Genomic DNA, 15,444 nt, shown 5'->3' on the forward strand with positions numbered 1-15,444 from the left:
TAACATTTAAGTCTTTAATCCATCTTGAATTAATTTTTGTATAAGGTATAAGGAAGGGATCCAGTTTCAGCTTTCTACATATGGCTAGCCAGTTTTCCCAGCACCATTTATTAAATAGGGAATCCTTTCCCCATTGCTTGTTTTTGTCAGGTTTGTCATAGATCAGATAGTTGTAGATATGCGGCATTATTTCTGAGGGTTCTGTTCTGTTCCATTGGTCTATATCTCTGTTTTGGTAGCAGTACCATGCTGTTTTGGTTACTGTAGCCTTGTAGTATAGTTTGAAGTCAGGTAGCGTGATGCCTCCAGCTTCGTTCTTTTGGCTTAGGATTGACTTGGCCATGTGGGCTCTTTTTGGGTTCTATATGAACTTTAAAGTAGTTTTTTCCAATTCTGTGAAGAAAGTCATTGGTAGCTTGATGGGGATGGCATTGACTCTATAAATTACCTTGGGCAGTATGGCCATTTTCATGATATTGATTCTTCCTACCCATGAGCATGGAATGTTCTTCCATTTGTTTGTATCCTCTTTTATTTCATTGAACAGTGGTTTGTAGTTCTCCTTGAAGAGGTCCTTCACATCCCTTGTAAGTTGGATTCCTAGGTATTTTATTCTCTTTGAAGCAATTGTGAATGGGAGTTTACTCATGATTTGCCTCTCTGTTTGTCTGTTATTGGTGTATAAGAATGCTTCTGATTTTTGCACATTGATTTTGTAACCTGAGACTTTGCTGAAGTTGCTTATCAGCTTGAGATTTTGGGCTGAGATGAAGGGGTTTTCTAGATATACAATCATGTCATCTACAAACAGGGACAATTTGACTTCCTCTTTTCCTAATTGAATACCCTTTATTTCCTTCTCCTGCCTGATTGCCCTGGCCAGAACTTCCAACACTATGTTGAATAGGAGTGGTGAGAGGGGGCATCCCTGTCTTGTGCCTGTTTTCAAAGGGAATGCTTCCAGTTTTTGCCCATTCAGTATGATATTGGCTGTGGGTTTGTCACAGATAGCTCTTATTATTTTGAGATACGACCCATCAATACCTAATTTATTGAGAATTTTTAGCATGAAAGGTTGTTGAATTTTGTCAAAGGCCTTTTCTGCATCTATTGAGATAATCATGTGGTTTTTGTCTTTGGTTCTGTTTATATGCTGGATTGCATTTATTGATTTGCGTATGTTGAACCAGCCTTGCATCCCAGGGATGAAGCCCACTTGATCATGGTGGATAAGCTTTTTGATGTGCTACTGGATTCGGTTTGCCAGTATTTTATTGAGGATTTTTGCATCAATGTTCATCAAGGATATTGGTCTAAAATTCTCTTTTTTGGTTGTGTCTCTGCCAGGCTTTGGTATCAGGATGATGCTGGCCTCATAAAATGAGTTAGGGAGGATTCCCTCTTTTTCTATTGATTGGAATAGTTTCAGAAGGAATGGTACCAGCTCCTCTTTGTACCGCTGGTAGAATTCGGCTGTGAATCCATCTGGTCCTGGACTTTTTTTGGTTGGTAAGCTATTGATTATTGCCTCAATTTCAGAGCCTGTTATTGGTCTATTCAGAGATTCAGCTTCTTCCTGGTTTAGTCTTGGGAGGATGTATGTGTCGAGGAATTTGTCCATTTCTTCTAGATTTTCTAGTTTATTTGTGTAGAGGTGTTTATAGTATTCTCTGATGGTAGTTTGTATTTCTGTGGGATCGGTGGTGATATCCCCTTTATCATTTTTTATTGCGTCCATTTGATTCTTCTCTCTCTTCTTCTTTATTAGTCTTGCTAGCAGTCTATCAATTTTGTTGATCTTTTCAAAAAACCAGCTCCTGGACTCATTGATTTTTTGAAGGGTTTCTTGTGTCTCTATTTCCTTCAGTTCTGCTCTGCTCTTAGTTATTTCTTGCCTTCTGCTAGCTTTTGAATGTGTTTGCTCTTGCTTTTCTAGTTCTTTTAATTGTGATGTTAGGGTGTCAATTTTAGATCTTTCCTGCTTTCTCTTGTGGGCATTTAGTGCTATAAATTTCCCTCTACACACTGCTTTGAATGTGTCCCAGAGATTCTGGTATGTTGTGTCTTTGTTCTCGTTGGTTTCAAAGAACATCTTTATTTCTGCCTTCATTTCATTATTTACCCAGTAGTCATTCAGGAGCAGGTTGTTCAGTTTCCATGTAGTTGAGTGGTTTTGAGTGAGTTTCTTAATCCTGAGTTCTAGTTTGATTGCACTGTGGTCTGAGAGACAGTTTGTTATAATTTCTGTTATTTTACATTTGCTGAGGAGTGCTTTACTTCCAACTGTGTGGTCAATTTTGGAGTAGGTGTGGTGTGGTGCTGAAAAGAATGTATATTCTGTTGATTTGGGGTGGAGAGTTCTGTAGATGTCTATTAGGTCTGCTTGGTGCAGAGCTGAGTTCAATTCCTGGGTGTCCTTGTTAACTTTCTGTCTCGTCGATCTGTCTAATGTTGACAGTGGGGTGTTAAAGTCTCCCATTATTATTGTGTGGGAGTCTAAGTCTCTTTGTAGGTCACTAAGGACTTGCTTTATGCATCTGGGTGCTCCTGTATTGGGTGCATATATATTTAGGATAGTTAGCTCTTCTTGTTGAATTGATCCCTTTACCATTATGTAATGGCCTTCTTTGTCTCTTTAGATCTTTGTTGGTTTAAAGTCTGTTTTTTCAGAGACTAGGATTGCAACCCCTGCCTTTTTTTGTTTTCCATCTGCTTGGTAGATCTTCCTCCATCCTTTTATTTTGAGCCTATGTGTGTGCCTGCACGTGAGATGGGTTTCCTGAATACAGCACACTGATGGGTCTTGACTCTTTATCCAATTTGCCAGTCTGTGTCTTTTAATTGGAGCATTTAGCCCATTTACATTTAAAGTTAATATTGTTAGGTGTGAATTCAATCCTGTCATTATGATGTTAGCTGGTTATTTTGCTCGTTAGTTGATGCAGTTTCTTCCTGGCCTTGATGGTCTTTACGATTTGGCATGTTTTTGCAGTGGCTGGTACTGGTTGTTCCTTTCCATGTTTAGTGCTTCCTTCAGGAGCTCTTTTAGGGCTGGCCTGGTGGTGACAGAATCTCTCAGCATTTGCTTGTCTGTAAAGGATTTTATTTCTCTTTCACTTATGAAGCTTAGTTTGGCTGGATATGAAATTCTGGGTTGAAAATTCTTTTCTTTAAGAATGTTGAATATTGGTCCCCACTCTCTTCTGGCTTGTAGAGTTTCTGCCGAGAGATCAGCTGTTAGTCTGATGGGCTTCCCTTTGTGGGTAACCCGACCTTTCTCTCTGGCTGCCCTTAACATTTTTTCCTTCATTTCAACTTTGGTGAATCTGACAATTATGTGTCTTGGAGTTGCTCTTCTCGAGGAGTATCTTTGTGGCATTCTCTGTATTTCCTGAATTTGAATGTTGGCCTGCCTTGCTAGATTGGGGAAGTTCTCCTGGATAATATCCTGAAGAGTGTTTTCCAACTTGGTTCCATTCTCCCCATCACTTTCAGGTACACCAATCAGACGTAGATTTGGTCTTTTCACATAGTCCCATATTTTTTGGAGGCTTTGTTCATTTCTTTTTATTCTTTTTTCTCTAAACTCCTCTTCTCGCTTCATTTCATTCATTTCATCTTCTATCACTGATACCCTTTCTTCCAGTTGATCACGTCGGCTAATAAGGCTTCTGCATTCGTCACGTAGCTCTCGTGCCTTGGTTTTCAGCTCCATCAGGTCCTTTAAGGACTTCTCTGCATTGGTTATTCTAGTTATCCATTCGTCTAATTTTTTTTCAAAGCTTTTAACTTCTTTGCCATTGGTTCGAATTTCCTCCTGTAGCTCAGAGTAGTTTGATCATCTGAAGCCTTCTTCTCTCAACTCGTCAAAGTCATTCTCCATCCAGCTTTGTTCCGTTGCTGGTGAGGAGCTGCGTTCCTTTGGAGGAGGAGAGGCGCTCTGCTTTTTAGAGTTTCCAGTTTTTCTGCTCTGTTTTTTTCCCATCTTTGTGGTTTTATCTACCTTTGGTCTTTGATGATGGTGACGTACAGATGGGTTTTTGGTGTAGATGTCCTTTCTGTTTGTTAGTTTTCCTTCTAACAGACAGGAACCTCAGCTGCAAGTCTGTTGGAGTTTGCTAGAAGTCCACTCCAGACACTGTTTGCCTGGGTATCAGCAGCGGTGGCTGCAGAACAGTGGATTTTGGTGAACCGCAAATGCTGCTGCCTGATCATTCCTCTGCAAGTTTTGTCTCAGAGGAGTACCCGGCCATGTAAGGTGTCAGTCCGCCCCTACTGGGGGGTGCCTCCCAGTTAGGCTACTCAGGGGTCAGGGACCCACTTGAGGAGGCAGTCTGCCCGTTCTCAGATCTCAAGCTGCATGCTGGGAGAACCACTACTCTTCAAAGCTGTCAGAGAGGGACATTTAAGTCTGCAGAGGTTACTGCTGTCTTTTTGTTTGTCTGTGCCCTGCCCCCAGAGGTGGCGCCTACAGAGGCAGGCAGGCCTCCTTGAGCTGTGATGGGCTCCACCCAGTTCAAGCTTCCCGGCCGCTTTGTTTACGTAATCAAACAACTAACTCGGCAATGGCGGGCACCCCTCCCCCAGCCTCGCTGCCGCCTTGCAGTTCGATCTGGGACTGCTGTGCTAGCAATGAGCAAGACTCCTTGGGTGTAGGACCCTCTGAGCCATGTGAGGGATATAATCTCCTGGTGTGCTGTTTTTTAAGCCCGTTGGAAAAGCGCAGTATTAGGGTGGGAGTGACCCGATTTTCCAGGTGCCATCTGTCACTCCTTTCTTTGACTAGGAAAGGGAATTCCCTGACCCCTTGCGCTTCCCAGGTGGGGCGATGCCTTGCCCTGCTTTGGCTCATGCATGGTGTGCTGCACCCACCATCCTGCGCCTACTGTCTGGCACTCCCCAGTGAGATGAACCCGGTACCTCAGTTGGAAATGCAGAAATCACCCGTCTTCTGCGTCGCTCACGCTGGGAGCTGTAGACCGGAGCTGTTCGTATTCGGCCATCTTGGCTCTGGTCTTGATCTCTTGACCTTGTGATCCGCCCGCCTCGGCCTCCCAAAGTATTCAAAATTCACACTTTTAAAATATACATTACAATGGTTTTTAGTATATTCACAGAGTTGTGCAACCATCACCATTATCTAATTTTACAACATTTTCCTCAACCCCAAAAAAGAATGCTGTACACATTAGAAGTCACTCCCCATACCTCCTTCCTCACAGCCACTGGAAAACATTTTCCATCTCCATGGATTTCCCTATTCTAGGCATTTTATATAAATGAGATCATACAATAGGTGGGCTTTTGTGACTGGTTTCTTTCAGTTTCTATAATGTTTTCAAGGTTCCATCATGTTGTAGCATATATCAATGCTTTGTTCCTTTTCATGGCTTAATAATATCCCATTGTACGGCTATACCACATTTTGTTAATTTATTCATCAGTGAATGGGTATTTGGGTTGTGTCCACTTTTTGACTGTTATGAATAATGTTGCAATGGACATTCATATAAAAGTGTTCGCATAAACATGTGTTTTCATTTGTCTTGGTTATATACCTAAGAGCAGAACTGATGGGTCAAATGGTAACTCAAAGTTTAACTTTTTTAGGAACTGTCAAAGTGTTTTCCAAAGCAGCTGTACCATTTTGCCACCTCACTAGCAGTATATAAGGGTCCCAATTTCTCCATATCTTTGCCAACACTTGTTATTGGTTTTTTATTTCAACCATCCTTGTGGGTGTGAAGGAGCATCTCTTATCTGTGTTTTCAAGGAAGATTTTTTTCCCCTTGTGTTATTTTATTGAATCACCCAGCAAAGATTGATTGGGCACTACTAATATCAGGAGTGCTGTGCTGAGTGTTGTACAGGATGTAGGTATGAAAAAGAGAGGTTCTTGCTCTCAGTCTCATTCTCCTCTCTAGGAATTTCCCAAAAGTAAACAAACTTGCCTTGAATTTGAAATCAAGGGCTCTGAACTCTGGTCTGAACTCTACTCCTGACCAAGTCTCTTCCCCTTGTGAGCCGCATGCCTGGGGTTTGAGGGGACTGGACTAGACCAACTCTAAGGCCATAGCTCAGACAGTCCATATTTCTTGCCTATATATTCTGCAACCAAGGTTGTTCTTTATTTAAAAATTCTGGTTTCCTGGAAATGTCAAAGAAACTGGGAAGGAAAGGGGAACTCTGCAGCCAACTCACTGCACTGATTAGGGCCAATGCCACATGCTCATCCTTACCGAGAGAGGATTTTGCTTTGCACGATGGTCATCGAAGGCTGTTCATAGGAATCTTCCCCAATGGGATCCACAGAACAAGAGCTCTTCTGCTTTGAAAATCCTCACAGAAGACTTTTGGAGATCATTTGAAGTGACAGTAAAGGAGCACTTCTCAACTAAGAGAATCCTTCACCAGCCCTGCCATTTATAGCATGGAAATTAAAGAGGGAGAATAACTATCTACAGTATGGGATTACTATATTGAATTGCCGTGGAAGGCGCATATACAATTACTAGTCCTAGAAACCTGAAATAGCTTATAAAAATTGTGTTTTCATGTTTATTATAAATTAGTGCTTAATGTCAAAATAAAAAAGTAGCATTCCAAAAATTCATAAGAAAAAAGCAAAGAAATGCTTAAAAAGAAATGAGTATATTCTGTATCTTTATAAATAATAGTTGGGCCATTGGTCTTGAAAGTAATAGAGGGAGGGTCATAAATGCATGGAGGCTGCAGAAGAAACTCAGAAAAGGAAGCAGAGAAAGCAAGAGTATATTAAAAGATTTGTGATTTTTTTTTACAAAGGTGAAAAGTATAAATACAGCTGCCGATGATGAAAGTTTAAGTTTCAAGATTTTCCATTTTTGATCCTCAAATTAATTTTAGATATAGTTTCTGCATATCATGAACGAATTTCCAAAGTCACAGAGAAACTTGGCACTCTGAAGAAATTGATCTACTAATGCTGGCAATGAAGTGTCATAGAAAGAACTAGCCTGGAAGTCAGGAACTTGGGCTTTGATTCTAGTTCCTCCCCTAAATGTGGGACCTGAGAAGTCATTTCACCCTCAGAGTCCTCACCCATAAAATGAAGAGATGAGAAGGATGGAGGTCATTCTCAGTCAGCCAGGACAGTGCTGGTTAAGACCTCCCTAAGCCCTGAGTATTTTTAGTTTTAGAGATTCCATCCTACATCGTATCAAATGTATTAAAAATCCATTTCATCTATTCCATGAGGATAATCATGGAATATGATTTAGACATAACTGTATTAGTATTGTGTTGTATCTGACCGACATGTTCTATTTGGTTGATATTTTTAAAACATTGTTATTTTGCTGTTTTCTTTTCATATTTGGGAGCCAGGAACTCCCAAATATGGATTTTGGATTTTTTTCAGAATCCAAAAGTTTTGAAGGCCTTTGAAAATCACGGAAGTCTTAGGTACGCCTGGCCCTGAGTGCTAAGTGGTGGGGCACAGATGGTTTGCAGCCTCTTACCCCACCCACTCCAAACACCCCATAGAAGGCAGTGTCCAAGGGGATTGGTACAGAGATGGAAGCTCTAGTTGCTCAAAGATAGCTTCGTGGAGCTGTGATTTAAGTCATGCCCAAAAAGATGAGTAGGATTAACAGAGACAGAGGGGAAGGCCTCTAAGCTGAAAACCAAGAGGCTCAATTGCTGACCGGGGTGACTGCCCTGTACAGCGACAACTGCCGTTCTTCACTTCTCCAAGAGACTGGGCTATCCCAACAGCTGCCACCAGGTGGCAACAAGCCAAGCGGCTGCTCTCCCCTCTGCCTATTGATTTAGGCAGAGGGCCTATTGCATTTTAATGTTATGCAAACAACTCTTACCAAATACCATAATCACATTAGTATTTTACTAATTGAAAATTCTTACAGTGGGGTGTACCAACTCCTTTAAAATTAAGCATGAGGTGTGTTGTTTACCACAATGGAGAGCTCCATGCTGTCTGGAGATTCAGTGATCCAAGTGGGGAAAAAATATGTCATTTAGTAACTGCCTAAGAAAACGTGTTCTGTTTATAATAGCTGGGATTCTGAGGCCTGTATTTAAATAGCATCTGCAAAGAGTTAAATGTGCTCCCTGTCTCTGAGAAGCAGGCAAGAACACAGAAGTCAAGAACCAAGTGAATTCTTACACCTGCTCAAACTCTGCTCCCAACAGTCAGATGGGGAAGAAGTGGTCAGGACCCAAAACAGATTTATGTCTGCCAGGCCTCTGTAGTAATAGTCTCACACACTATCTCATTTAGCCACTGAATCCACACATATCCCTCAGGGATAGATCCCATCAGGCCTATATTAATAGACAAGGAAATAGGCCCAGAGAGGGGAAAGAAGTTGCTTAAGACCACAAGGCCAGCACTCCCAGCGAGGTCCTGTGACTCTGGTCCAGGGCACTCTCTGTCCTGAGAAAGCCATCCACCTCTCCCAAGCCACGGTCCCCTCCAATCCCATTACTCTCAAGCTGTTGTCACTTTTCCCCTACCAAGCTGCCCCTGTCCTTCTCCACCTTACTGCATCTTAGCCTAAACGTGATGAGAAGTGGACTGAGCTGCCTCTGCCTTGTCCCCTGGGGAAGGCCTCAGGTCCTATAGACCTCACTTCTCACCAATCCAGGAGAATCTTGAGCCCCAGGCCCAGAAGTGAGAGCAGAGAAAAAGCTTCTTCCCTCCCAGGAACTGATTCTGTTTTATCCCTAGAGCCTAGCCATGCACATCCTCCTGATTTTACAGCTGCAAAAGGAGAAAAAGTGCCTGAGATTTCAACCCACCCTCTATAACATGCTGTAACAAAGGCATCTCAAACTTAACTGATCTGAAATCTTGATTTTACCCTCCAAGGTATTTCTCTGGCATTCTGCCCCAGTGGGAAATGGTAATGCTATTCTTCCATTTTCTTCAGGGTGGAAGTTTTGGAGACACCTTTGGCTCCTTTTTCTCATACTGCACATCCAATCCATCAATAAGTCCTTTTAGTTCTACTTTTGAAAAATATCTATAATACAACCACTTCTCCCACCTTCCAGTTACCAGTGTGGTCCAGCCACCATCATCTCTCACCTCAATTACTGCAAGTCTTCCTAACTGGACTCCCTGTTTCCATCCTTGCCCCCTCAGGGCCTCTTGTCAATGCAATTAGAGTCACATTAGTTAGCTCACATCACTCCTCCACTCAACACTCTCCAGTGCATTCCCAGCCTCCACAGCTGTAAAAAGGAAATAAGCCCTTGGCTCTGTACCTAGCCAAACCAGTAAAACAGAGGGAACCATGGCCTACCCATGGCTGTATTCTCTACCAACCAGAGGAGCTGGGCAGGTGACCGAGCACTTGGTCTTACTCTAGAAAAAATCAAGTGGTCCAATGCTGGATTTTCTGTCGAACTGGGGCTGTGAATGCTGTGAACATGGGCAGAGAGGTGACTCACACATCCCTTTGGCCAACCAGCTACTGAGCATGATGGGCCGTGTATCACAGTTCACCCTGAAGGCTGGATGCCATTTCTGGCGTGGGTGAATTCTCAGTACTGCATGTCTCAGAGTTGGCTTATTTGGAGTGCCTGTCTTTTTAAAAATTTTCGGCAATATGATAAATATACACAATTCCCTGTTAGCCTCATAGATACATCTGGAGGCAACAGAGGGAGGATTCACCCAGACTACTATCCCCAGTGAGTGATTAGTTAAGGAAAGTGTGGCCCGGAGAGGCAACTTCTTTTGGGTCACAGATATTTGTCTCAGACCCTGATACCAAAAGCTGGGGCCTTTAGTGGGTCATTTATCCTGTCTGAAATCTCTGGTTCTTCTTACAAAAAGAAAAAGAGGAAGAAGACGATAAGAAAACTTAGAGATGAGTCTGCAGAGCATCTTTGGATTCATAAAGCTCTGAAATCCTGATTCTTCAGTGAGTGTTATTTGATCTATAAATTAGTCTCTGAGTCCCATACGTGCCCTGATGCCCATAGGAGAAGGGTGGCAAGAGGCAACACTAAACCCTTTGCTGAGAACTTTATTTGCACAGAATGTAGGGCCTGAGCACATCTGCCCACATCTGCGTGCTCTGCCACCCATTCATCCCGCCTGTCACCAGAAAGAGGCAGAAGCAGCAGGGGTGAGCAGGCAGCCTCCATCTGCTGAGAACACCTCAGGCAAAAAGGGCTCAAGACCAGGCTTCTCTCCCACCCCTCCCCACACAGAAGCATGTTGCTACATTGTCATCTCAAAGCTTGCGGTCCAGATCCTTGGACCAGAACAATCTGGGCAAGCTGACCTTTGCCTGACTCCTGCCCTGTCTGCTGGCTCTCACCTGCCCAAGGCCTCCAGATGCAGCTGTGGTTCACACGGCATCCAGCACAGTAGCAGTCAGGGCAGTGGAGAGCAGGGGCCTCTGTAGCACTTCTGCCCTCTCCACCCCACTGGCCCTGCTCCTTTGCAGGCTACAATGCACTTCTTTACAACCAATCCAATAGAAATAGAATTCAGCCAGGCATAGTAGCTCAGGTCTGCAATCCCAACACTTTTGGAGGCCAAGGCGAGAGTATCATTTGAACGCAGGAGTTTGAGACCAGCCTGGGCAACAAGATCTTGTCTCTACAAAAAAGGAAAGAAAAAAAAATTAGCAGGGTTTGGTGGTGCAAACCTATTAGTCCTAGCTACTCAGGAGGCTGAGGCAGGAGGATCGCTTGAGCCCAGGAAGTCAAGGCAGCAGTGGTTTTATTATTATCTTATTATTAATACTTTCTTATTAATGAGATACTTTGCATTCTTTTTTACATCCTCAGTCCTCAAAATCTGGTGTGCATTTGTACCATTTCAAGTGCTCAATAGCCACATGAGGCTAGTGGCTACCATATTTGATAGTGCAGATCTAGAATATACATGGAAGTCTATATACAGTTGCAGTTATCGTGATTCTGCTAATGTTAACACTGGCTGGTAACATTTTGTTATATTCTCATCTAGTCTTTTCTACATATATTAGTTTTGCAAAGCTGAAGTCATGTTGCTTGTGTAACTTTCTATCCTCCTTTTGCTGTTTTGTGCATCTTCCTAAATCATCAAAAGTTCCTCACAACCACTGTCTCTAATTATATCAGACTATCCCATCACTTGGATGTGTCATAGTCTTTTTAGCCACTGCCAAAACGTTGGACAGCAAGTGTTTCAGTAATATAGGTAATACTGAGATAATTATTTTTTGTATTCCTTGTGCTCTTAAGACCTTAATATAAATCTCTCTAGCATTCTAACCATTTTTAACAAAGTGACCTTTAATCAGTCAAACAACTGGCAACAAGTGATTTCTGACTGACAGCTGAGACACCTTATGTTCTCATTACTCACCTCTGACACCTGGTTCTGCAACCTAGGGCAACCACTTCACTTTTCACACCACAGTCGCTCCATTTATAAACTGACTGTATTAGGTGATTTTTAAGGGTCTTTCCAGCCCTAACCTTCAGTGATATTTTTCCCCCACCCTCACATCTAATCAATTAACCTGTCAAGCCAGTTATTATAAGTCATCATAAGTCATGTCAAAGCCACCACATAAACATTTTAAATTCATCCAAGTCTCCCATGCCCACTCATAGTACTTTGTTCAGGCCCCCATCATTGCTCACCTAAAGTGGGACAAGAGTACCTAGTGCTGAGAGATTAGATTCTAAAGTTACCATCAGAGTCCCAAATCAAGAATAGGATTAAATGGGCTGGGCTCAGTGCTCATGCCTGTAATCCCAGCACTTTGGGAGGTCGAGGTGGGTGGATCACTTGAGGTCAGGAGTTGGAGACCAGTCTGGCCAACATGTTGAAACCCCGTCCCTACTAAAAATACAAGAATAGGATTAAATGAGAGGTGTGAGAACACATGGGCCTGGCACGGAGGAGGTGCTCAGTGAATATTTGCTGCATTTGAATCTGAAACCAGCCTCAAGTGACCCACCTGGATCTCATTTCCTAAAAGTTACGGAAGAGGAGTTCACAGTGAAACACTGGAATTGCGAATGCACCCTGCTGCGTGCCCTGCCCCAGACACGAGGTGCTGCAGGAAGACAAAGACTTGGCAGCATCCCCTAAAGGGCTGACAGTCTAGAAGGGGAGATAGGAACCCCTGTGCACAAAACAAGCATGCCTCAGGCGGTGTCTTCAATGGAAAGACCAGATGGAGAACAGAACAATTATCTGAGCAAATCAGGCAAGCCTGCTGTTGAGGAAAAGGCTGAAGAAAATTTGTCCTCCTGTTTCCTTTGAGAACCAAGGGGTTAGGGCAGCCAGAGGAAGCAAAAGCATTTCAGCTCTAGAAACAGAGTTCTGGTTTGTACTATATGATCTTAGGCAAACTATGAGGCTGCTTTTTTATCTCAGTGTCTTCATCTGTAAAATGGAGACAGAGTAATACCAACCTTGCACAAACCTACCTGCCTACTGGATTGAGTTGTGAGGTTGAATAGAACAATTACGTATGGGGACAACAGTTATTAAATGGGTGACCTAATAGCTAACATAGACAACGGACAATGTGCCTTCTAAGAATCTGCTCTGAAAGGAAATGTTTAGTCATCATAAAAAGCATCTGTAATGAACTTTATTTGTTTAATTTTATTTATTTCCCTATTTTTATTAAATAGAGTTGGGGTCTCGTTATGTTGCCCAGGATCGTCTTGAACTCCTGGCCTCAAGTGGCTTCCTGCCTTGGCCTCCCAAAGTGCTGAAGTTACAGGCATGAGCCACTGCGCCCGGCCTACCTTATAAAGTTCAGTAAAGGTTGGGCGCGGTGGCTCATGTCTGTAATTTCAGCACTTTGGGAGGCCGAGAGTGGATCACAAGGTCAGGAGTTCCAGACCAGCCTGGCCAAGACGGTGAAACCCCGTCTCTACTAAAAATACAAAAAAATTAGCTGGGCGTGGTGGCAGGCACCTATAATCCCAGCTACTCCGGAGGCTGAGGCAGAGAATTGCTTGAACCCGGGAGGCAGAGGTTGCAGTGAGCCAAGTTCGCACCACTGCACTCCAGCCTGGGCGACAGAGTGAGACTCCATCTCAAAAAAAAAAAAAAGAAAGAAATTATAAGGCAATTTCACGTGCATTTATTTTGTTTCTAAAACCCTGTCAGTATTATCATTTGCTCCTTTTACACTTAAGGATACTGAGATTTTGCTCCTTTTACACTTAAGGATACTGAGATTGAGAAAGCTTAACCAACCCATTGCAGTTCCCACTGTGAGGTCCAGATTTAAGCTCTCTGACTCCGTGGTTCTCACTCTTTCCCCTACACTGTGCTGCCTCCTATTAAAATCCTTATTACCAAAGCATTAATATTATTAACATAAATATTAATAATGTTTGTTATGTATGTTTCCCTTTGATCAAGGACACTAAAACCTCAAAATAGAAACTCTGAAAAAAAAAAGTCTGACCTGCTAGAATAGCAAGCTCACTTTCTCATATTAAGGGAAAGTAGCTGTCCCCATCTGATTTACATTTCATGCCATACAGCAGGAAATATTTAAGTTGACAAATAGGATATTTACAACTGCAACAGATACTTGGCAGTTAGTTTTTAACAATTGTTGCAATGTGATTTATTTGCTATTATAAAAGGGCATTACTGTGCGAATATGACTCCTGAAATTAGCTTTAGTTTAGCAAGGGGCCTTGACAGCTTGACCTCTTAATATCCTTATAATGACGCCATTTACATTCAATGCTTACTCAAGTCACTCACTGCTAGATTTGTTTGACAGGAGTCCACTCTAGGGCAGATGTATTATGTATTTTAACACACAGAGTTGGTGAGCGGGGTAAATACAGGCCTTCTAGGAGGAAAAACTGTTTAATCAAGTCTTCATGAAAATGTGTTAGTTTCCAACTTCCTACAGTGAAAATGCATTATGCTAATTACAGCATACTCCAGAAATACTTCATGTTTTCTCCACAAGACATTTTCATGGCATGTCTTATATTAAACACAAACATGTTCTGATCCTCTGCAACTTTAGTTTTTAATTTCACTGGAGAACTGTTACATAGGATAAGGATTGGCTGGGCCAGAATCAGGGAATGGGAAGAAGGTAGACTTGGAGCCAGGTAGAATTGGATTCAGATCCCAACACCACCACTTCCTAACTCAGTGGATTTGGGTACCTCCCTGAACCTCAGTTTCTTCATCTGTGACATGGGGTTGTTATTTTTTAGGCTACCACAGAGATCTGAGATATTTATGATTCACCCAGCTTCATAAAAACTGCAGGTACTTGATACATGGGACCAGTTGTGTTTTTGTTGCTTGTTTAAAGCTCAAAGGTCACCTTCATGATGCAGCCCTGATTTCATTAGACAAACCCAGTCTGTCCTTTCTTTCTGCTTCAGTAGTACTTTGTTCCACCCCATTATTTTATCACATATAAAATTCTATTGTTTAATTGGATATGTATGTATCTGTCTTCACCTTCTTATTTTTATTTTTTATTTTTTTGAGACAGAGTCTCACTCTGCCACCCAGGCTGGACTGTAGTGGTCTGATCTCGGCTCACTGAAACCTCTGCCTCCTGGGTTCAAGCGATTCTCGTGCCTCAGCCTCCCAAGTATCTGAGATTACAGGCGCACGCCACCTTGCCCAGCTAACTTTTGTATTTTTAGTAGAGATGACATTTCGCCATGTTGGCCAGGCTGGTCTCAGGTGATCCTCCCACCTCGGCCTCCCAAAGTGCTGGGATTACAGGTATAAGCCACCGTGCCCAGCCTGTCTTCACCTTCTTGATGGCAGGGCCTATGCCTATTTACCTTTGACTCTCCAGTGACTAGGACGATGATATGCCTTGAACATTGAACTGAGGAGGATGCCAGGGATGCTTCTGGATTCAGTGTGGGGATGGGGGATGACAAGGGCAATTAAGGTTGATCTGCCACAGGAGAGGGAAGAAGTAACACATGACCTACTTTTATCATTGCCAGTTTAGCACATAGTAGATGCTCAGTAAATATTTGTCAAACGAATTAGTGGACATTACTCAGTTACCTAGCAGTTGACATTAACTTATAACCAATGTCTATTTTTTAAAGCATTTTTATTTTTATTTTTATTGCATCATAATATTCTTCTAATAACACTGTGATACAGCTAGGATAAGGTGTTATCACCAATTGACAATTGAGAATACTGTGACATTGTAGGACTGGTAAAATAAGATTACCCTTCACTCTCATGAGAAAATGGGGGTAGACCTAAGACTTAGAGGCCAACCATTAGTTTCCCTTAAATATCATATTGAGGCTCCCAGAGGGGCTGTCACTGCTTTTTCCAAAATCAGGGCAAACTGCCCTTTCTCATATTCATCACTCTTTTCCCGTCTTTCTGCTCTACTGTAGTTCCCCACCCTCCAAAGCTTCAGTCTCATTTTCTCAGTAGAAAACCTGGCA

The 15,444-nt window shown here is 42.5% G+C and overlaps 1 protein-coding gene and 1 long non-coding RNA gene across 12 annotated transcripts in view, besides 1 other annotated feature; one reads left to right on the forward strand and one right to left on the reverse strand.

The window, feature by feature from the left end:
- Positions 1-15,444, forward strand: part of IQCH (IQ motif containing H) — a 247,019-nt gene that overhangs the window by 194,575 nt on the left and 37,000 nt on the right. The window lies entirely within an intron of this gene.
- The window catches only part of IQCH-AS1 (IQCH antisense RNA 1), a 118,234-nt gene that overhangs the window by 45,750 nt on the left and 57,040 nt on the right, over positions 1-15,444 (reverse strand). Inside the window, exon 4 of one of the 2 annotated variants that reach the window (NR_040051.1) lies at positions 10,332-10,615. The exons of the other annotated variant lie outside the window; for it this stretch is intronic. This is a non-coding gene — a long non-coding RNA (IQCH antisense RNA 1). The remainder of the gene's footprint in view (positions 1-10,331; positions 10,616-15,444) is intronic. 2 annotated transcript variants of the gene reach the window in all.
- Positions 7,591-7,885: an enhancer, noted in NCBI's record as "tiled region #13361; K562 Activating DNase matched - State 12:CtcfO". NCBI's record gives its function as "activates a minimal TATA promoter and a strong SV40 promoter by Sharpr-MPRA in K562 cells {active_cell/tissue: K562}" and the evidence as "EXISTENCE:reporter gene assay evidence [ECO:0000049][PMID:27701403]".

Source organism: Homo sapiens, chromosome 15 (genome assembly GCF_000001405.40).
Source record: "Homo sapiens chromosome 15, GRCh38.p14 Primary Assembly".
In the NCBI taxonomy this organism is placed as follows: domain Eukaryota; kingdom Metazoa; phylum Chordata; class Mammalia; order Primates; family Hominidae; genus Homo; species Homo sapiens.